Consider the following 15,463-nt stretch of genomic DNA (forward strand, 5'->3'; position numbering starts at 1 on the left):
TTTTAAATTTTCATTAGTATTTCACAGTTTGTGGAAGAAAGCTTTTGTTTTTTTTTTTTGGTTTCTTGGGTTAAATGCATACCTGTTATGTTGAATTTTATTGTTTTATGAGTCACAAAATCTTGTCTGTTTGGTAATCTAAATTCCCAAATATTTCTGTTTCTTAATGTGAATAGAGGGATAGCAAAACATATTCTTCTTTTCCATAAAAATAAAAATTACCCTGGGTTAACTTTCAAGTTTTATTTTCATGGAAACCAGATACTGGTAGATTGTCAGCCATATTACTAGACAACATTGCCTATAATAAGAATAAAGCAGAATGGATAAACTGTATCTGGTTTGGGAGGGCTGCTTTTAACAGTCAGGAGAAATAAGACAGATTTTTTTTAACATGATTTTGGTCTCTTAACAGTTACTACTTCTTATAATGCAACAGACACATGACACATTGTCCTATAGTTTAAAATATTTTAAATTGTATATTATATATATTATTTTAAATTAAGTATCATATATTTTATAAAATATATTTCAAAACTATAATATACAAAAATGTGTGTAATTAAAATATATAAATATAGATTATAAAGAAGAAAATTATAAAAATTTTACCAAAATGCAAATAAATATATAATTATGAGACATGTCTGTTTAGAAAAATTTTTTGTATTATTTTTAGCATGTCCTTAGCTTTGCTTGCTGTCTTTGGCATTTTTAAATCATACTGCCCTTACTGCATAGAAATGTTCTCAGTCACTTAATATGTTACTTACATAAATTAATTAACTTGACATTTAATGCTTCAAGACTAAAAATTATCTAGCATCATTCACATTTTGCATATTGCATTTGGGCCTCCAAACATTTACAAGAATGAGAATATGACCCTTGAAGTGCTTGAAAACTTTGACCTATTCCATCCAAAAAGTGAGTAAAACTTATATGGTTTTAAGCCAAGTCATTTCAAACAGAATAGAGCAATTAACCCGTTGATATGAAGAATGGGTCAGAAGGCATTTCCATAGAGAATGCTTCAATTCATTTTTGATTGTACAAGATCTTTCTGTTGATCATTTATTTTTTATTATTTCAATGTGGAGTAGACTTATTTAACTTGTATAACAGTGATGGTATATTATGTCTCTATATTTGAAGTAAACATGCAAAAAAATGTGGTTTAAAAATTTGTGTATTTTATAACTAACAATAATGGAAGTTCATAAAATTATTAAATAGGCAAAATTTTACATGAAAAGCAATTTGAGGCTTTGTTTAGTGGGTCTGAGGTAATGGATCAAATGTGGTATCTCATACCAACCAGTGAGAAGCCTGGATATATGTAACAAATCTTCAAAATTCAGTGATATTTTAAAATACATTCCTTTAATATCCAATCTTAGAATCTAATCAGGAGATATAGACTTCTAATGGTAAGATGATTTTGTTTTCTACTTTTAACTTATGGCCACTGAGGGCTGAGAGGCAAATATCCGCTTCCATAAGATACCTAAAAATTTGGTGGAACAAGAAACGCCTATAATAATGTTTGCTCTTATCTTGAATGCATGGTAATTGAATAAAACGATCTCTTAATTTAGGAAGAAGGAATGGGTTAGTTTGCTCACTTCAATTTACCATTAAGAAAGCATCTGCAACTGTACTCATAGTTAATTGCTTTCAGCCGGTGTCTTCGCCATGTCTTTACTGAAAATATGGAGCGTAAGTACTTCCTCCTCCTCCGTTGTACTTTCCACACTTCTAGGCACGCTCCTCATCAAAATTTTTCAACATTTTCCAGTACCATTAGCATAAATATCTACTTTTACATAGTATAAAAGGACACCCTGTCCTCTGTCAAGCTCTTCAGAAACTTATATTTTCTCTTTATAATTTTATGCTATGCAATATTAAAGGTCTTACTCTCTCTCTTGCTTCTATGCCTTTGATCATGCTTCTCCCTCTGCTTGAAATACCCTTATTTCATAACTAGTAACATTTTACTATTTTTGAAAATTCCAACCTACCCCTTAAATTTCAATTCAAATGCCACCTTTTGTAGGCTCACTACCGCCGTGTTCATTTTAACATATTATATTTACATATATTGTGTCACCAATTTTTTACTATGAATGTTTGCTTTTTTAACTTTCAGATACTAATCTCCTTGGAGAGCAAGAAATAAGTTTTTTGTATCCATGGACTCTAGAGTAGTACACAGTAGGTGATGAATCAATATTTTTAAACAAATAATAGATTGAAGTTTTAATAAGCTGTAGCAGCTTATCAAAGGCTGCTGAAGACTCCCATATTACATAACCGTTAAAACTATAATTGGCACATTTAATTATCTTTGTTTCAAATCCATGAATTATGTACCCACACATTTGTGGAAAGTCGGCTTTGTGTGTTTTTCATACTATTTAAGATTTTTATTTAATAGTAAAACAAAAATATTATTGTGGGACTATTGCTTGTTCATTAATAACAGCTTGAGTGCTGGTTTCCTTTACATACATAGAGACTTATATTTCTAGATGATACAAAAATGGCACCAATAGAGGCAAGCAATGCTGCTGGGATTATATAAAGTTAGGCCAGTTCCAAACAGGCTTTTCCACTTTCTTGTACAGATAAGTTCTTGCATCTTCTTAAGCAACTCCATGATGAAAGATTGTTTTTTACTATTTCTTTATCTTTCATGAACACCTTTAGTAATGACTCAGAGTAAGCCCTCGAGTCTCACTGACCTGTGTTCAGTGATTTTTCTGGTTTTAATCTTGGAGATAGCAGAGTTACTGATTTTTTTTCCTTTTTGATTGTTCATTTAGATCATTTAGTACTAAAACATTGTCTTGGTAGTTGGGTAACATAATGAAAATTATCACTTATTAATCTAATAGAATAGTGACTAGTAATTTTGTCACAGAATGACTAAATTATTTACTGTGCTGCCTGTATGTATGTTCGTGTGTCTACATGGGAGAAAACCACATTCTCTTTGGGGTTTGCCTAACCCCAAATGAAAGGGTTAAAACAGGGGGTTCTCAGATGGACTTTAAGATTAAAAAAATACACTTAAAGGCATTCCTCTGTCTCTGACTTTTCTGATAACTTATAAATCAATTAATCATTATACTAGGTTTATAGTAATAACATTCTGAACCTATTATTGTGAGTGTAAGCATCAATATTCTTTACTACATCTTAACTTAAATAGAAGACCACAGACACACTCCACATTAAGTGGTGCTAAACATGTCTGATGTTGGGTTGTCAGGGTGATAATTGTGGCATTTCTTTTTGTTTTCCAAAAAATCATTAATTAGAGATATGGATATATTTTAATGTACTTATTTAAAAGTATTGCAGATATTCCTAAAGTGAAGGAAGATTAATTATATGGCTAATTCTCTGCTATATCAAGGAAAAAATAACCCTTTTTTAATCTGGTAATAAGTTTAAACTGTATAGACTGCAATAAAAATTACATCATTCTTACATTATACAGTGTTGTGAAAATGCACTTTGTGGTTATTATTTCAAATGAAAGATCTACCTCAATGGAAAAGCATTTCTTAACTATTTTGAGAACTTATTATACTTAATGACAAATTTATCTGAAGTTCTAAACACTGTTAGGAATAAGGGAAGATCTTTTAATTTAGGTATAATCATACTACTGTACTTAAATTTTGATAACTAAGTTATAAAATAATATATACAATTTAAATGGAATATTTATTTAAAGTATGTTTAGACATTTAAAATAAAATGCTTGACAATGTAAATAATCTAAGATTATTATTAGCAAATGATTGCTTCATTTTTAATAATCTTTGTGTGTTTTTGTTAAACCATACTTATGTTTAAACTGATCATATTTATATTTTGTTTTCCTTCTTCTGACAGCTCCTTCAGGTTGGAAGGAATACCTTTACTTGGGGGCATGTCAATTCGTTTTTCTCACTTGATTCATCTTTATGACTTCCTGAGGACAGATCTAATTCTAAAGTAACCAGAAGCCTGGCCATCTCAGAGCAGCAAATCCCTCAACCTTGGAGCACAAATGATCGCTGATAGAGTCTGCATAAAATCATCTTCCTCTATCTGACAGCCATGAGCAGAGCCTTGGGGGTAAAAAAAGCCACAGCCTTAAATCTCTTCACTCAGAAATTACCATGAAGATAAAATAAATAAATGGAAAGGACTATCAAGAAGCCAACAAAACATAAACACCAAACCAACTCATCTTGTTTCACTTTGGAAATAAACTGTTCCCAGATGTGAGACCAACAAAATTAATATTAAGCAATTAAACCAGTAAATTATAAACTGATTTATCATTTGGGAAGTTTAAAGTACAGAGAGATGAGGTACCTGTAGCCAGAATTACACATCATTTCAAAATATGTAGACAAAAAGAAAACTGAATGAACAGAGAAACATTGCAGCAATGCACAGTCTTAGGACGAATGTTGCTGTTTGCAGACAGAGAATGTTTGCCATCTTGTGTATAGCCTCAAAGCCATACTGAGATAATAGCATTGTTGTCAATTGCTTGAAAAATTTTCACATTCAATCCTTCATGCTATATTGGTTGGAAGAGGAGGGAAGTCAGTTCTTACTGATTACTTCTCAGTGAACTTCTAATATTTGCACTGTCACTTCCATTCAGGGTAATGATGTGTGCTGTTATTTGCACAGATGGTCCCATGAGTTTTGAGACCACAGCAAGCAGTTTTTTGCAGGAATCCAAAATGGAAAAATGTAAGAATTCTCAAGACATTGATTTTTCTTCTTTCAAAAAAAAAAAATCAGTTATCTAATAAAAAATGGATTTGATTTTAAAACAAATTTAAAAACATCTACAGAATAACAATGAAAAAGCATCAGTGTGGTCAAATGAATCCAAAAGGGATCCAAAGTTTTTAATGACCATCATTTGATATCATTAAAAACCAAGAAGTCAAATACAGTGAAATGCACACTAAGCATTTGTGTTGAACATCTATTTGTTCTCTTAATTAAAAAGTCATTTGTAATTTGTATTTGGCATATAACAGTTTTTATAGCCAAACAGCATTTTCAGTTTATTTTTCTAAATAAATCTGTTGTTTGTATTGTTTGTAGTTGCTTATTTGATTTGGTTTTCATTACCAAGAAAACAAGTTTCTTTTGGTTTATTGGCAAGCTTTTGTCATATTAATTCAGAACTAATGGAAGATTGATATTTCAAGTATTTTTGTAGTATAAAATTGTGCTTTCTGTTTTCTAAGCTCTGAAAAACATGGTATATTTTTCACTATGACTTTCTTGTGAAGGGCTATTTTAACATTATAGTTATAACTATTGAGAATTAATTTTAATACAAGGGAACATTGCTAGAAAACAGAAAGCTCAGGTATTGTATCAGTAAGGATTTTTTCTAAGTTTTGTTTCTGGAATTCTGTTTAGAACATAATAATTAGATTAAAAAAAAAGGTCACTAATCCTAAGTGTTCTCATTATTGTTATCCAGAAGTCTGCTAAGAACTTCTATCATCTATCTATCTATCTATCTATCTATCTATCTATCTATCCATCCATCTATCATCTATCTATCTATCTATCTATCATCTATCTATCATCTACCTATGAGTAGGTAATCATACTGGAGCAAAAATGGAACTCAATCAAAAAGGGCTGTTTGTAGTGTACAATTCAAACAAATTGCTTATAACAATTAAAAGAATAGGTCATTAGGCTTATTCCCAAACTATGATATAAAATCAAACTCCCAACATGTTGTTCTGTACACTTAAATTGGTTTACACTCTGCAATATCTCCTGGTACTTAGAATACCTTGCAATGTAATGAAGAAAATTAGTTTGTTTTGCATGATTTGAACCTCTGAAAAGTAATATATTGTACATTAAAATAATCAAGCAAGGAATCAAATTGCCAGTTCCTGTGAGATGATAGGCATTGAAGTATAGATGCCTGAACTCATCCATGAAGCAATCCATGCTGATTGCTTCAATCTGTAAATTATTTGAACTTATAAATAGGAAAGCCAACTTTCCCAAAAATATTTGACAATAAAATTAATCAAGCATATGTGATAAAAAATATAGTTCTTTATTTTGTGCATATACTCAGTGATAAGCAGCACTTTACCAGCTGTACTCTCTCACGAATGTCTAAAAGACTGCAAATATGTGAAATGATCAGGCCTGCTCTTCAGCAGGATAACTCCAGTAGTAGTTTATAAAGTGAGTTAGAGACTGGAGGTGGCCAGACTAGAAAAAGTGTCTAAAATTTTCTTTGAATTTAGTCTGTTTTTTCTCTTAAGTTTTGATTATATTTACTTTCTTAGTTATTTCACTTGTCCATCACTGTTTCTTCTTTCATCTTCAACTTTTAAACCTGCTATTCTCACAAGTCAGTATTACTTTTACAAATCTATTAAACAATTGCCAGTTCCCACTGAGAAGTACTACTTAACAGGTTTCATTTTTATCTCGAAATGCCAATGTAGATAATCTTCACTTCTTAACATTTTCTTTTAGAGTGCTGGTGTCTTACACATAACATGCAAGTCTCTCCTTGCTGGCCCCTATTCACATAATTATTATGTTTACTTAGGTAAGATAATCTTGCTTATTTACTGAGTGCTCACTATGGGACATGAATTATGCAGGTCATTAGGAACAAAAGGGTAAGAAAAAATACATAGACTATTTTAATAGAGTCTAAAATCTAGTTGGAGAGAACTACATTAAACATTTAATTACACGTTAACAAAAAAATTACAATATGCTAAATTCTATAAAGAAAAGGATGTGGGCTGGGCGTGGTGGCTCACGCCTGTTAATCCAGAACTTCGAGAGGCCGAGGCCAGGGGGATCACTTGAGCTTAGGAGTTCGAGACCAACCTGGACAACATGGTGAAATCCTGTCTCTACAAAAAATAAAAAATTAGGTGGCTACGGTGGTGGGTGCCTGTAGTTCCAGCTACTTGGTTAGCTGAGGTGGGAGGATGGCTTGAGCCCAGGAGAAGGAGTTTGCAGCGAACCAAGATTGTGCCACTGCACTCCAGCCCAGATGACAGAGCAAGACCTTCAGAAGTTGTGTATCTAAACATACCTAAACATATAAAAGACACAGTGACAATATGGTATAACCTTGTGGGACCACCATTGTATAATATACGTAGTTCCTTGTTAATGGAATGTGGTTATGTGCTGAATGTATCCAGTACAACAAATGTAGGCATGTTTAACTCCTGAAAAGATTAAGACCCTGCCTCAGAAAAAAATAAAATAAAAAGAAAAAAAAAGGTATATGGTTTGGAGATATCACATGTCCAGTGGCTCTAACCCAGTGGGTAGAGAAAGCTTTGAACTGAGATCTGAAGGGTGACTAGTGGATAAAAAGGGAAAAATCATGTGCAAAGCACTGCAAAGAGGAAGAAGGTAAGACATCAGAAGACCTGAAAAAATCTAGAGTTGTGCAAAGAGAAAAAAGAGAGTAGTGCAGAGAAGACTGGTTAGATGGAAATCAGATCTCACCTATCTACATCCTAGGTAAAGAAACAAAAATATGAAGAGTAAAAACAATATAAAGAATAAAACAGTACGAAGAGTAAAACAATAAGAAGGGTAAAAACAGTTAAGTATGCAGAAATGACAGAAGTATAGTCATGTATTGCTTAAAAACAGGGATACTTTCTGAAAAATGAGGAGTTAGGTGATTTCATTATTGTTCTAACATCATATAATGTACTTACATGAACCTAGATGCTATAGCCTATTTTGCTTGCAGGGCACAAACCTGTACAACAAATTACTGTATTGAATACTGTAAGCAGTGGTAACACAATGATAATTGTGAATCTAAACATACCTAAACATAGAAAAGATACATTGAAAATGTGGTATTACCTTGTGGGACCACCATTGTATAATATACGTGGTTCCTTGTTAATAGAATGTGGTTATGTGCTGAATGTATCCAGTACAACAAATGTAGGTATGTTTAACTCCTGAAAAGACTAAGATGACATTTTCCTCCCACCACCAAGTCCACTATAATCTCTCTCACTCATCAACAGGAAAGATTTACTTGCACTGCCAAAACAAAGAGATGCAGAAAGTTACATATTTGAAACAATAGGTTAAAATATATCTGACTGAGTATAAACTATAAGAAAAAGAGGCTCAAAATGAATACAATCATGACTCATATTATTGTGCTTTGCTTTGTTGTGCTTCAGACAGATGTTGTGGTTTTTACAAATTGAAGGTTTGTGGCCTATATGGGGCAAGTCTATCAGCATCATGTTCCAACAGCATGCATTTACTTTGTGTCTCTATGTCATGTTTTGGTAATTCTTACGCTATTTCAAGCATATGCATCATTAGTATATTGATATTCATATTATTATATGTGTTATGGTAATATGTGATTTTTGATGTTACTGTTGTAATTGTTTTTGGGTGCCAAGGATGACGCCCATATAAGATGGCGAACTTAATCAATAAATGTGTGTGTTTTGACTGTTTCATCAAGCAGCCGTTCCCCTATTTCTCTTCTGTCCTTAGGCCTCCCTATTCCCTAAGACACAAGAATATTGAAATTAGGCCAATTAATAACCCTACAATGTCCCCTAAGTGTTTAATGAAAGAAAGAGTTGCATGTTTCTCATTTTAAATCAAAGGCTAGAAATGGTTAAGTTTGGTGAGGAAGGCATATTGAGAGCTGAGATAGGCTGAAAACTAGACTTCTTGTGCCAAATGGTTTGCCAAGTTGTGAATGCAAAGGAAATGTTCTTGAAGAAAATTAAAACTGCTCTAGTAAAAACACAAATGATAAAACAAAAAAGTGAAGCAGCCTTATTGCTGACATGGAGAAAGTTTGAGTGGTCTAGATAGAAGATCAAACCATCCACAACATTCCCTTAATCCAAAATCTAATCCAGAGCAAGGCCCTCAACATAGAGACAATATCCTCCACCAGCAAAAAGATGACTCATGAAGGCTCAGATGATTGTTAGCACTTCTTACTAATAAAGTACTTTTAAATTCATATATATATTTTTTAGACATAATGCTATAGCACAATTAATGGACCATAGTATATTATAAAAATAACTTTTATATGTACTGACAAACAAAATAAAATTGTGTGACTGGCTTTGTTGAGATATTCACTTCATGCAATGGCCTGGAACCAGCAACATCTTTGAGGTATGTCTATACCAAAGAGAGCAAAATTCTAAATTAAAAAATTAAGAATGGCCTTGGAAGCATTTTCAAACTTTTATAGGATATAATACTCAATGGAGATAAAAAGTTTATTCAGTAGGCCTGTATTAATTCATAATGACTTCAGCAACTGCAGATAGACTTACAATAAACATATATAAAAATGTGTTGAAACTAACTTGCATTAAATTGTTTGCCTATGTTTGCCAGAAAACTTAAAATAATAAGTAAGTGTCTGTTTATACCTGAAAAGGAAACTCTATGAAATCATCAGGAATCAGGCTTCTTTCAACTTTCTGCTCTGACATCCTTAAACTATAATGTTTTTCCTCATGATGCACAACAGTAGATGGAACTCCAGACATTGTATGCATGTTCCAGGCAGTAGGATGAGGAGACAGCTATTTTCTTCTTTTAAAGAAAACTTACTGAAAACTACTCATACAATATTTTGGTATGTTTGGCATTGTTCAAATCTGAAGCACAAGGAGAATTAAGGAATTTAGTCTTTTGGCTGGCCACGTTGAATGAATTTGGCATTCTGACACTAAAGAAGCTGCAGAAAATAAATGATGGTATACACAACCATCTAACTCTGCCACAAGACTTTCAAAATGTGACACTAATTCATCATGCACTAGTTTGAATATTGAGGATTTCAGGCATTAAATTATATGCAAACATGAGAAAATAAAATTTTCAGCGTGTATTTTCAAGAGCAAATTGATAAAGTGGAGTCACAGCATATGCACATTTAATCTTCGAGGATTCTACTACACTAATGTTTATTCGTTTCTGTAAATATGTGCACAAGAGTGGTCAGTTGGTGAGACTCATATCTCCTGTTGTGAACAGCTCATCACACTGCAGTTCTGGTTCATAATGCACAATACACTTTATAGGTGACAAAAGGGATTGTAAGGGAAATTGTAACTATGGGCATTCACACTCCATCATGATAGTTTAATGTATTGGTAGATATATTTTATCAATAACTGACGTGCACATTTTAGTATGGTGTTTTTATCGCTTGTTTTTTGGAAAAAGGAACACTAAAGTAGTATAACATTGTATTTACTCAACAAGTACTTAACATGTCGGGGCACATTTTATGCTGATTCTATGAAAGCATCCCTCATACTTTTTGGTTTGGGCATGTCTAAAGAAGTGATTGTTTATTGAGGATAGTCAAAGTATTCAGGTATTCCTGAGGCTTTGATTGAGGAAACAAAAACACTCAAAATTTAAAAGTAATTATGTAAAGGAGATCCATGGGTTCCACAGAAAACGCAGGTCTCCACAGTTATAAGCACTTGCCTAACCAGTTATATACTTTCTTTAGTCTTTTGCCAGCTATGAATTTATAAAACAACTACATCAATCGAAATATTTGAGATTTAGAAGTGAAAAAATAGAACCCATTATGGCATGCAGTGTGATCCATCAGAGAGAAGGAAGTCCACAGAATTAAAGACACTGCGGTCTTTTTAATCATAATCTAAAGCTAATCCTTGGAAGACTAATTTAACCAATGCTTATAATCAAAATGAGTGTTCTAAGCCATGGACACATATGTTGTGCAAGCACCAGTCAATTTCCCTGAGGATGCTCTACAGTGTATTTGGAAAAGTATCTAAATATTTCAATAGTGTTTATTCTTATATTATTTAATGTACAAATTGAATCTGCAATTTGCTAACGAATCTATTTCTGAATAATTTCCATGTTTCTATAATTGAATCCAAATAAAATATATAGTAAATTTTTAGTGAAACATGAAAGACTGCAAAAATGAATAATATTTAGTGCACTAACAACAGTTCCTTTGGAAAATTAGGAAGCAGGAAATATGCAGTACTTTATCATATTTAAAGGAAATATACTTTAACTTGAAATAACTAGAAATTGAGGGAAAAAAGCTTGACCATGATATGAGAAAGATACATAGTGTCTTACATTACTTTAAATTCAAGTTTTCACTTTACATAAGAAATATTTTAAATTCATTATTATTATAAAAATAAAAATAATACATATAAAACAAAAGTCCCCGTATGCCACCATTTGCACGCTCTTCTCTAGAGGGAATCACTGTCATCTTTGATGTAAATATAAATGTCAACAGAAAAATAGTATTGTGTGTATATGAATATGAGTACATACATGCTTTACATTCATAGAATCATAATTTATATAATGCTTTACCACTTAAATTTGTTCCACTGAAAAATGGATCTTGGGAGAGAGGGGTAGAGCAAGATAGCAGAATAGAAGTCTACACCAATCGTAGCCCCAGAAAGGATACTAATTTAACAACTAACTACAAATAAAAAGCACCACTGTAAGAACCAAAAATCAGGTGAGCACTTACAGTACCTGGTTTTAACTTGATATTGCTGAAAGAGGCACTGAAGAGGTAGGAGAAACAGTCTTGAATCACCAATGCCACCCATCCCCATCCCCCAGCAGCAGCCTTACCCTGCACAGAGAGAATCTGTGCCATTGGGAGAGGGAGAGAAAAGTAATTGTGAGACAGTGCATTGATCTCAGAAAGCAAAACTGGACTGAACACAGCTGATGCCCAACCACAGAGGGAGTGATTACAGCGGCCCTAGACAGAGGGGAATCACTTATCCCAGCGATTGAAACTTGACTTCCTGCAAGCCTTGCCACGTTGGGCTGGAGTGCTCTGGGGCCCTAAATAAACTTCAAAGTTCGTCTAGGTCACAAGAACTGCAACTCCTAGACAAGTCCCAGGGATGAACTCGGTTCAGAGCCAGTGTGTGTGTGTGTGGTGGGGGGTGGTGGTGGCACATGACCTACTGAGACACCACCAGGGTGGCTGGGAGAGAGCTGTCACCATCCCTCCCCTAGCCCCAGGTAGCATGGCTTGTGGCTCCAAAAGAGATCCCTTCCTTCTGCTTGAGGAGAGGAGAGGGAAGAGTGAGGAGGACTTTGTCTTGCATCTTGGATACCAGCTCAGGCACAGCAGGGTAAGGCACTGATCATAGTTGTAAGGCCCCCTTTGCAGGATCTAGCTCACAGGTAACATTTCTAGACACACCCTTGGATAGAAGGGAACCCACTACCTTGCAGGAAAGGACTATTCTTGGCAGCATTCATCAACTGTTAACTAAAGAGCCCTTGGGCCTGAAATAACCAACAGCCCTACCAGGTAGCACATTGTGGGCCTTGGGTGATATTCTGAGACTTGATTTCTTCAGGTGAGTCTCAGCACATTCCCAGCAGTGGTGGCTATAAGGAGAACTCCTTCTGATTGAGAAAAATGAAGGAAAAAATAAAGTAGACTTTGTCTTGTACCAAAGGTACCAGCTCTGCCACAGGGGTATAGAACAAAATGAGAGCTCTTGAGGTTCCTGATTCCAGGACTTGGCTCTTAGATGGCATTTCTATACCTTCCCTGGGACAGAGGAGAGCCCACTGTCCTGAAGGGTGAGTCCCAGGCCAGGCAGCATTCACCACAAGTGGACTAAAGAGCCCTCGTGCCTTAAGGGAACATTGGAAGTAGCCTGGCAGTACTCCCCATGGGTCTGTGGTGGCAGTGGCCATGAGGCAAGGCTCCTCTACTTTTGACAAGGGTAGGGAAGAGTGGGAATAACTGCATCCTGTACTTTGAGAGCCAGCTCAGCTGCAGTGCAATAGAACGTCAGGTAGACTTTTATGTTTTTTTACTCTAGTCCTTGGTTCCCAGACAGCACCTCTGGCCCCAGCCTTGGCCAGGGGGAGATAACTGTCCTGAAGGAAAGGTAACAGACCTTGCTAACTTTGCCACTTGCTAATTGTAGAGCTCCAGGGCCTTGAGCTAACATAGGCAGTAGCCCAGGGCATGGTTACAGGAGGCCGTGTGCTCAACGTCATTAAGCATCAGAGAAATGCAAACCAAAACTACAATGAGATTTCATCCCACTCCAGTTAAAATGGCTTATATCCAAAAGACAGGCAATAACAAATGCTGCTGAGGATGCAGAGAATAGAGACCTCTCACACTCTGATGGTGGGAATGTAAATTAGTACAACCACTATTGAGAATAGTTTGGAGATTCCTGAAAAACTAAAAATAGAGCTACCATATGAGCTAGCAATCCTACTCCTAGCTGTATACTCCAAAGAAAGGAAATCAGTATATCAAAGAGATATCTGCACTCCCGTGTTTATTGCAGCACTATTCACAATAGCCAAGATTTGGAAGCAACCTAAGTGTCCATCAACAGATGAGTGGATAAAGAAAACGTGAAACTTAACATACAATGGAGTACTATTCAGTCATTATAAAGGAATGAGATCCTGTCATTTGCAGCAATATGGATGGAGGTCACTTTGTTAAGTGAAATAAACCAGGCACAGAAAGACAAACATTACACGTTCTCATGCATCTCTGAGAGCTAAAAATTAAAATGAATGAACTCATGGACTTAGAGAGTAGAATGATGGTTACCAGACACTGGGAAGGGTAGTCAGTGAAGGTAGCAGGGAAGTGGGGTTGGTTAATGGGTACAGAAATATAGTTGTAAAAATAAATGAGACCTAGTATTTGCTAGCACAACAGGGTGACTATAGTAAAAAAAAAAAATCGCAATTGTTCACTTTAAAATAACTAAAAGAGTGTAATTGGATTGTTTGAAATACGAAGCATAAATGCTTGAGGTAATGAATACCCTATTTATCCTGATGTGATTATTATGCATTACATACCTGGTCAAAATATCTCATGTCCCCATAAATATATAAATATACATCCTACCATGTACCCACAAAATTAAAAGTTAAAAAAATTAAAAAGAATAAATCTTGGAGATCTTTTTGTCTATATATGAAAAGATATATATATATAAAATATATATTATATATATATTTTAAATTGTTACTTGTATCTCATGATAATGCTTTATCTATCTTAAATGAGAATGTAATCACTCATTTCTCAGTCATGGGGTATTTAGGTTATTTTCTGCTCTTACAATCAACACTGCATGGGCCACTGGTGTAGTTGATTTTCCATGCACTTGTGTATATTCCAGTGTAGAAACTGAGAGCACCTCTTTCTTCAAGAATATCCATAGCCAGTGTTATAGCATTTATAAATGCTATAGATTTTTGAACTATATTCTTATTATTTGATAATAATGATAGTGATGTATGAAAAGTCTTTCATTCATTTCAGGAAATTCTACTCAATTAACAAGAAATGAAATTAAGAAGGGAGAAAAACCTAAGTTTGAGAGATAATAGGAACGTTCACTGGAGAAATGGCCTTTGGTGCAGTAATTATTATTTTCCAAAAGTACAGATGTAGACATTAGTTAAGGAAACACAAGGAAATAAGATAAATATATCTCAAAAAGCAAAGCATCCTCCTTAGGGATATTTACAAAACATCAGAAAATACTATGTTTGTTAAATTTTATTTGCTGTGTGATGTCAATTAATGTTAAGGCTTCTGTTTAAAGATACCATTAAATATTATCCCCCTCTGGAATGAAATCATACTTTTAAGAATAACAAACAAACAGTTGTTTAATTATGGCATAAAATAGGAGATGTGTTCTTACAATCATTGTGGCTTAGTCACAAAATTGCTTCTCTTAGAAATTCAACACTTTCAACAGGAGAATGTACATAGTAATTAATGTAGAACAAATAAAAATGTCCACTATGTAGCCTAACAGTTATTTTAAAGGAAATAAAAAGTATCCATTTGAATTTCAAATGTCAGAATATTCTATTTGCACATTAAAAATATTAATACTCTACCAAATATTAACTAATGTATGTAGGTATTAAAGTTGTATTGTCATGAACAATTAGCAGATGGTTAAGAAGTTAAAATCATTTATTTTTCTCAGAGAAAAACACTCCCATCCCCCAAGAAAAAGGAAATAGTTCTAAACTACTCCTTCCATGTAGACCATTCGAGAGAATACTGAGAGGTGCTGAAGTGGAAATTGCCTTTGCCAATGGATTTTTATTGGCATGGTTTATTTTCTTCAGCATATGTGATATAAACTGGACACTGATGTTTTCCTAAATAATTCAATTTGCTAAGAAAATTAAAATAACTGAAGCAAAACTAAAAGCAAAAGAGGGAAGAGATAAAAGTTTGCTTTCACTTGAGATTTGAGAAGCAGCCTCCCGTTTTTGTGAGAAGGCTCTTTTAGATATAGGTTTTTCAAAGCAGAAAAGATCTATCAACATT

The 15,463-nt window shown here is 34.0% G+C and overlaps 1 protein-coding gene across 2 annotated transcripts in view; it reads left to right on the forward strand.

Moving 5' to 3' along the window:
- PRR16 (proline rich 16) overlaps positions 1–8,553 on the forward strand; it is a 330,317-nt gene extending 321,764 nt beyond the window's left edge. For both annotated transcript variants that reach the window (XM_047417289.1, XM_047417292.1), the window contains exon 3: positions 3,913–8,553. The gene's annotated coding sequence lies outside the window, so the exon portion shown is untranslated. The remainder of the gene's footprint in view (positions 1–3,912) is intronic.
- The last annotated feature ends 6,910 nt before the right edge of the window (positions 8,554–15,463 follow it).

Source organism: Homo sapiens, chromosome 5 (assembly GCF_000001405.40).
Source record: "Homo sapiens chromosome 5, GRCh38.p14 Primary Assembly".
NCBI lineage: Eukaryota > Metazoa > Chordata > Mammalia > Primates > Hominidae > Homo > Homo sapiens.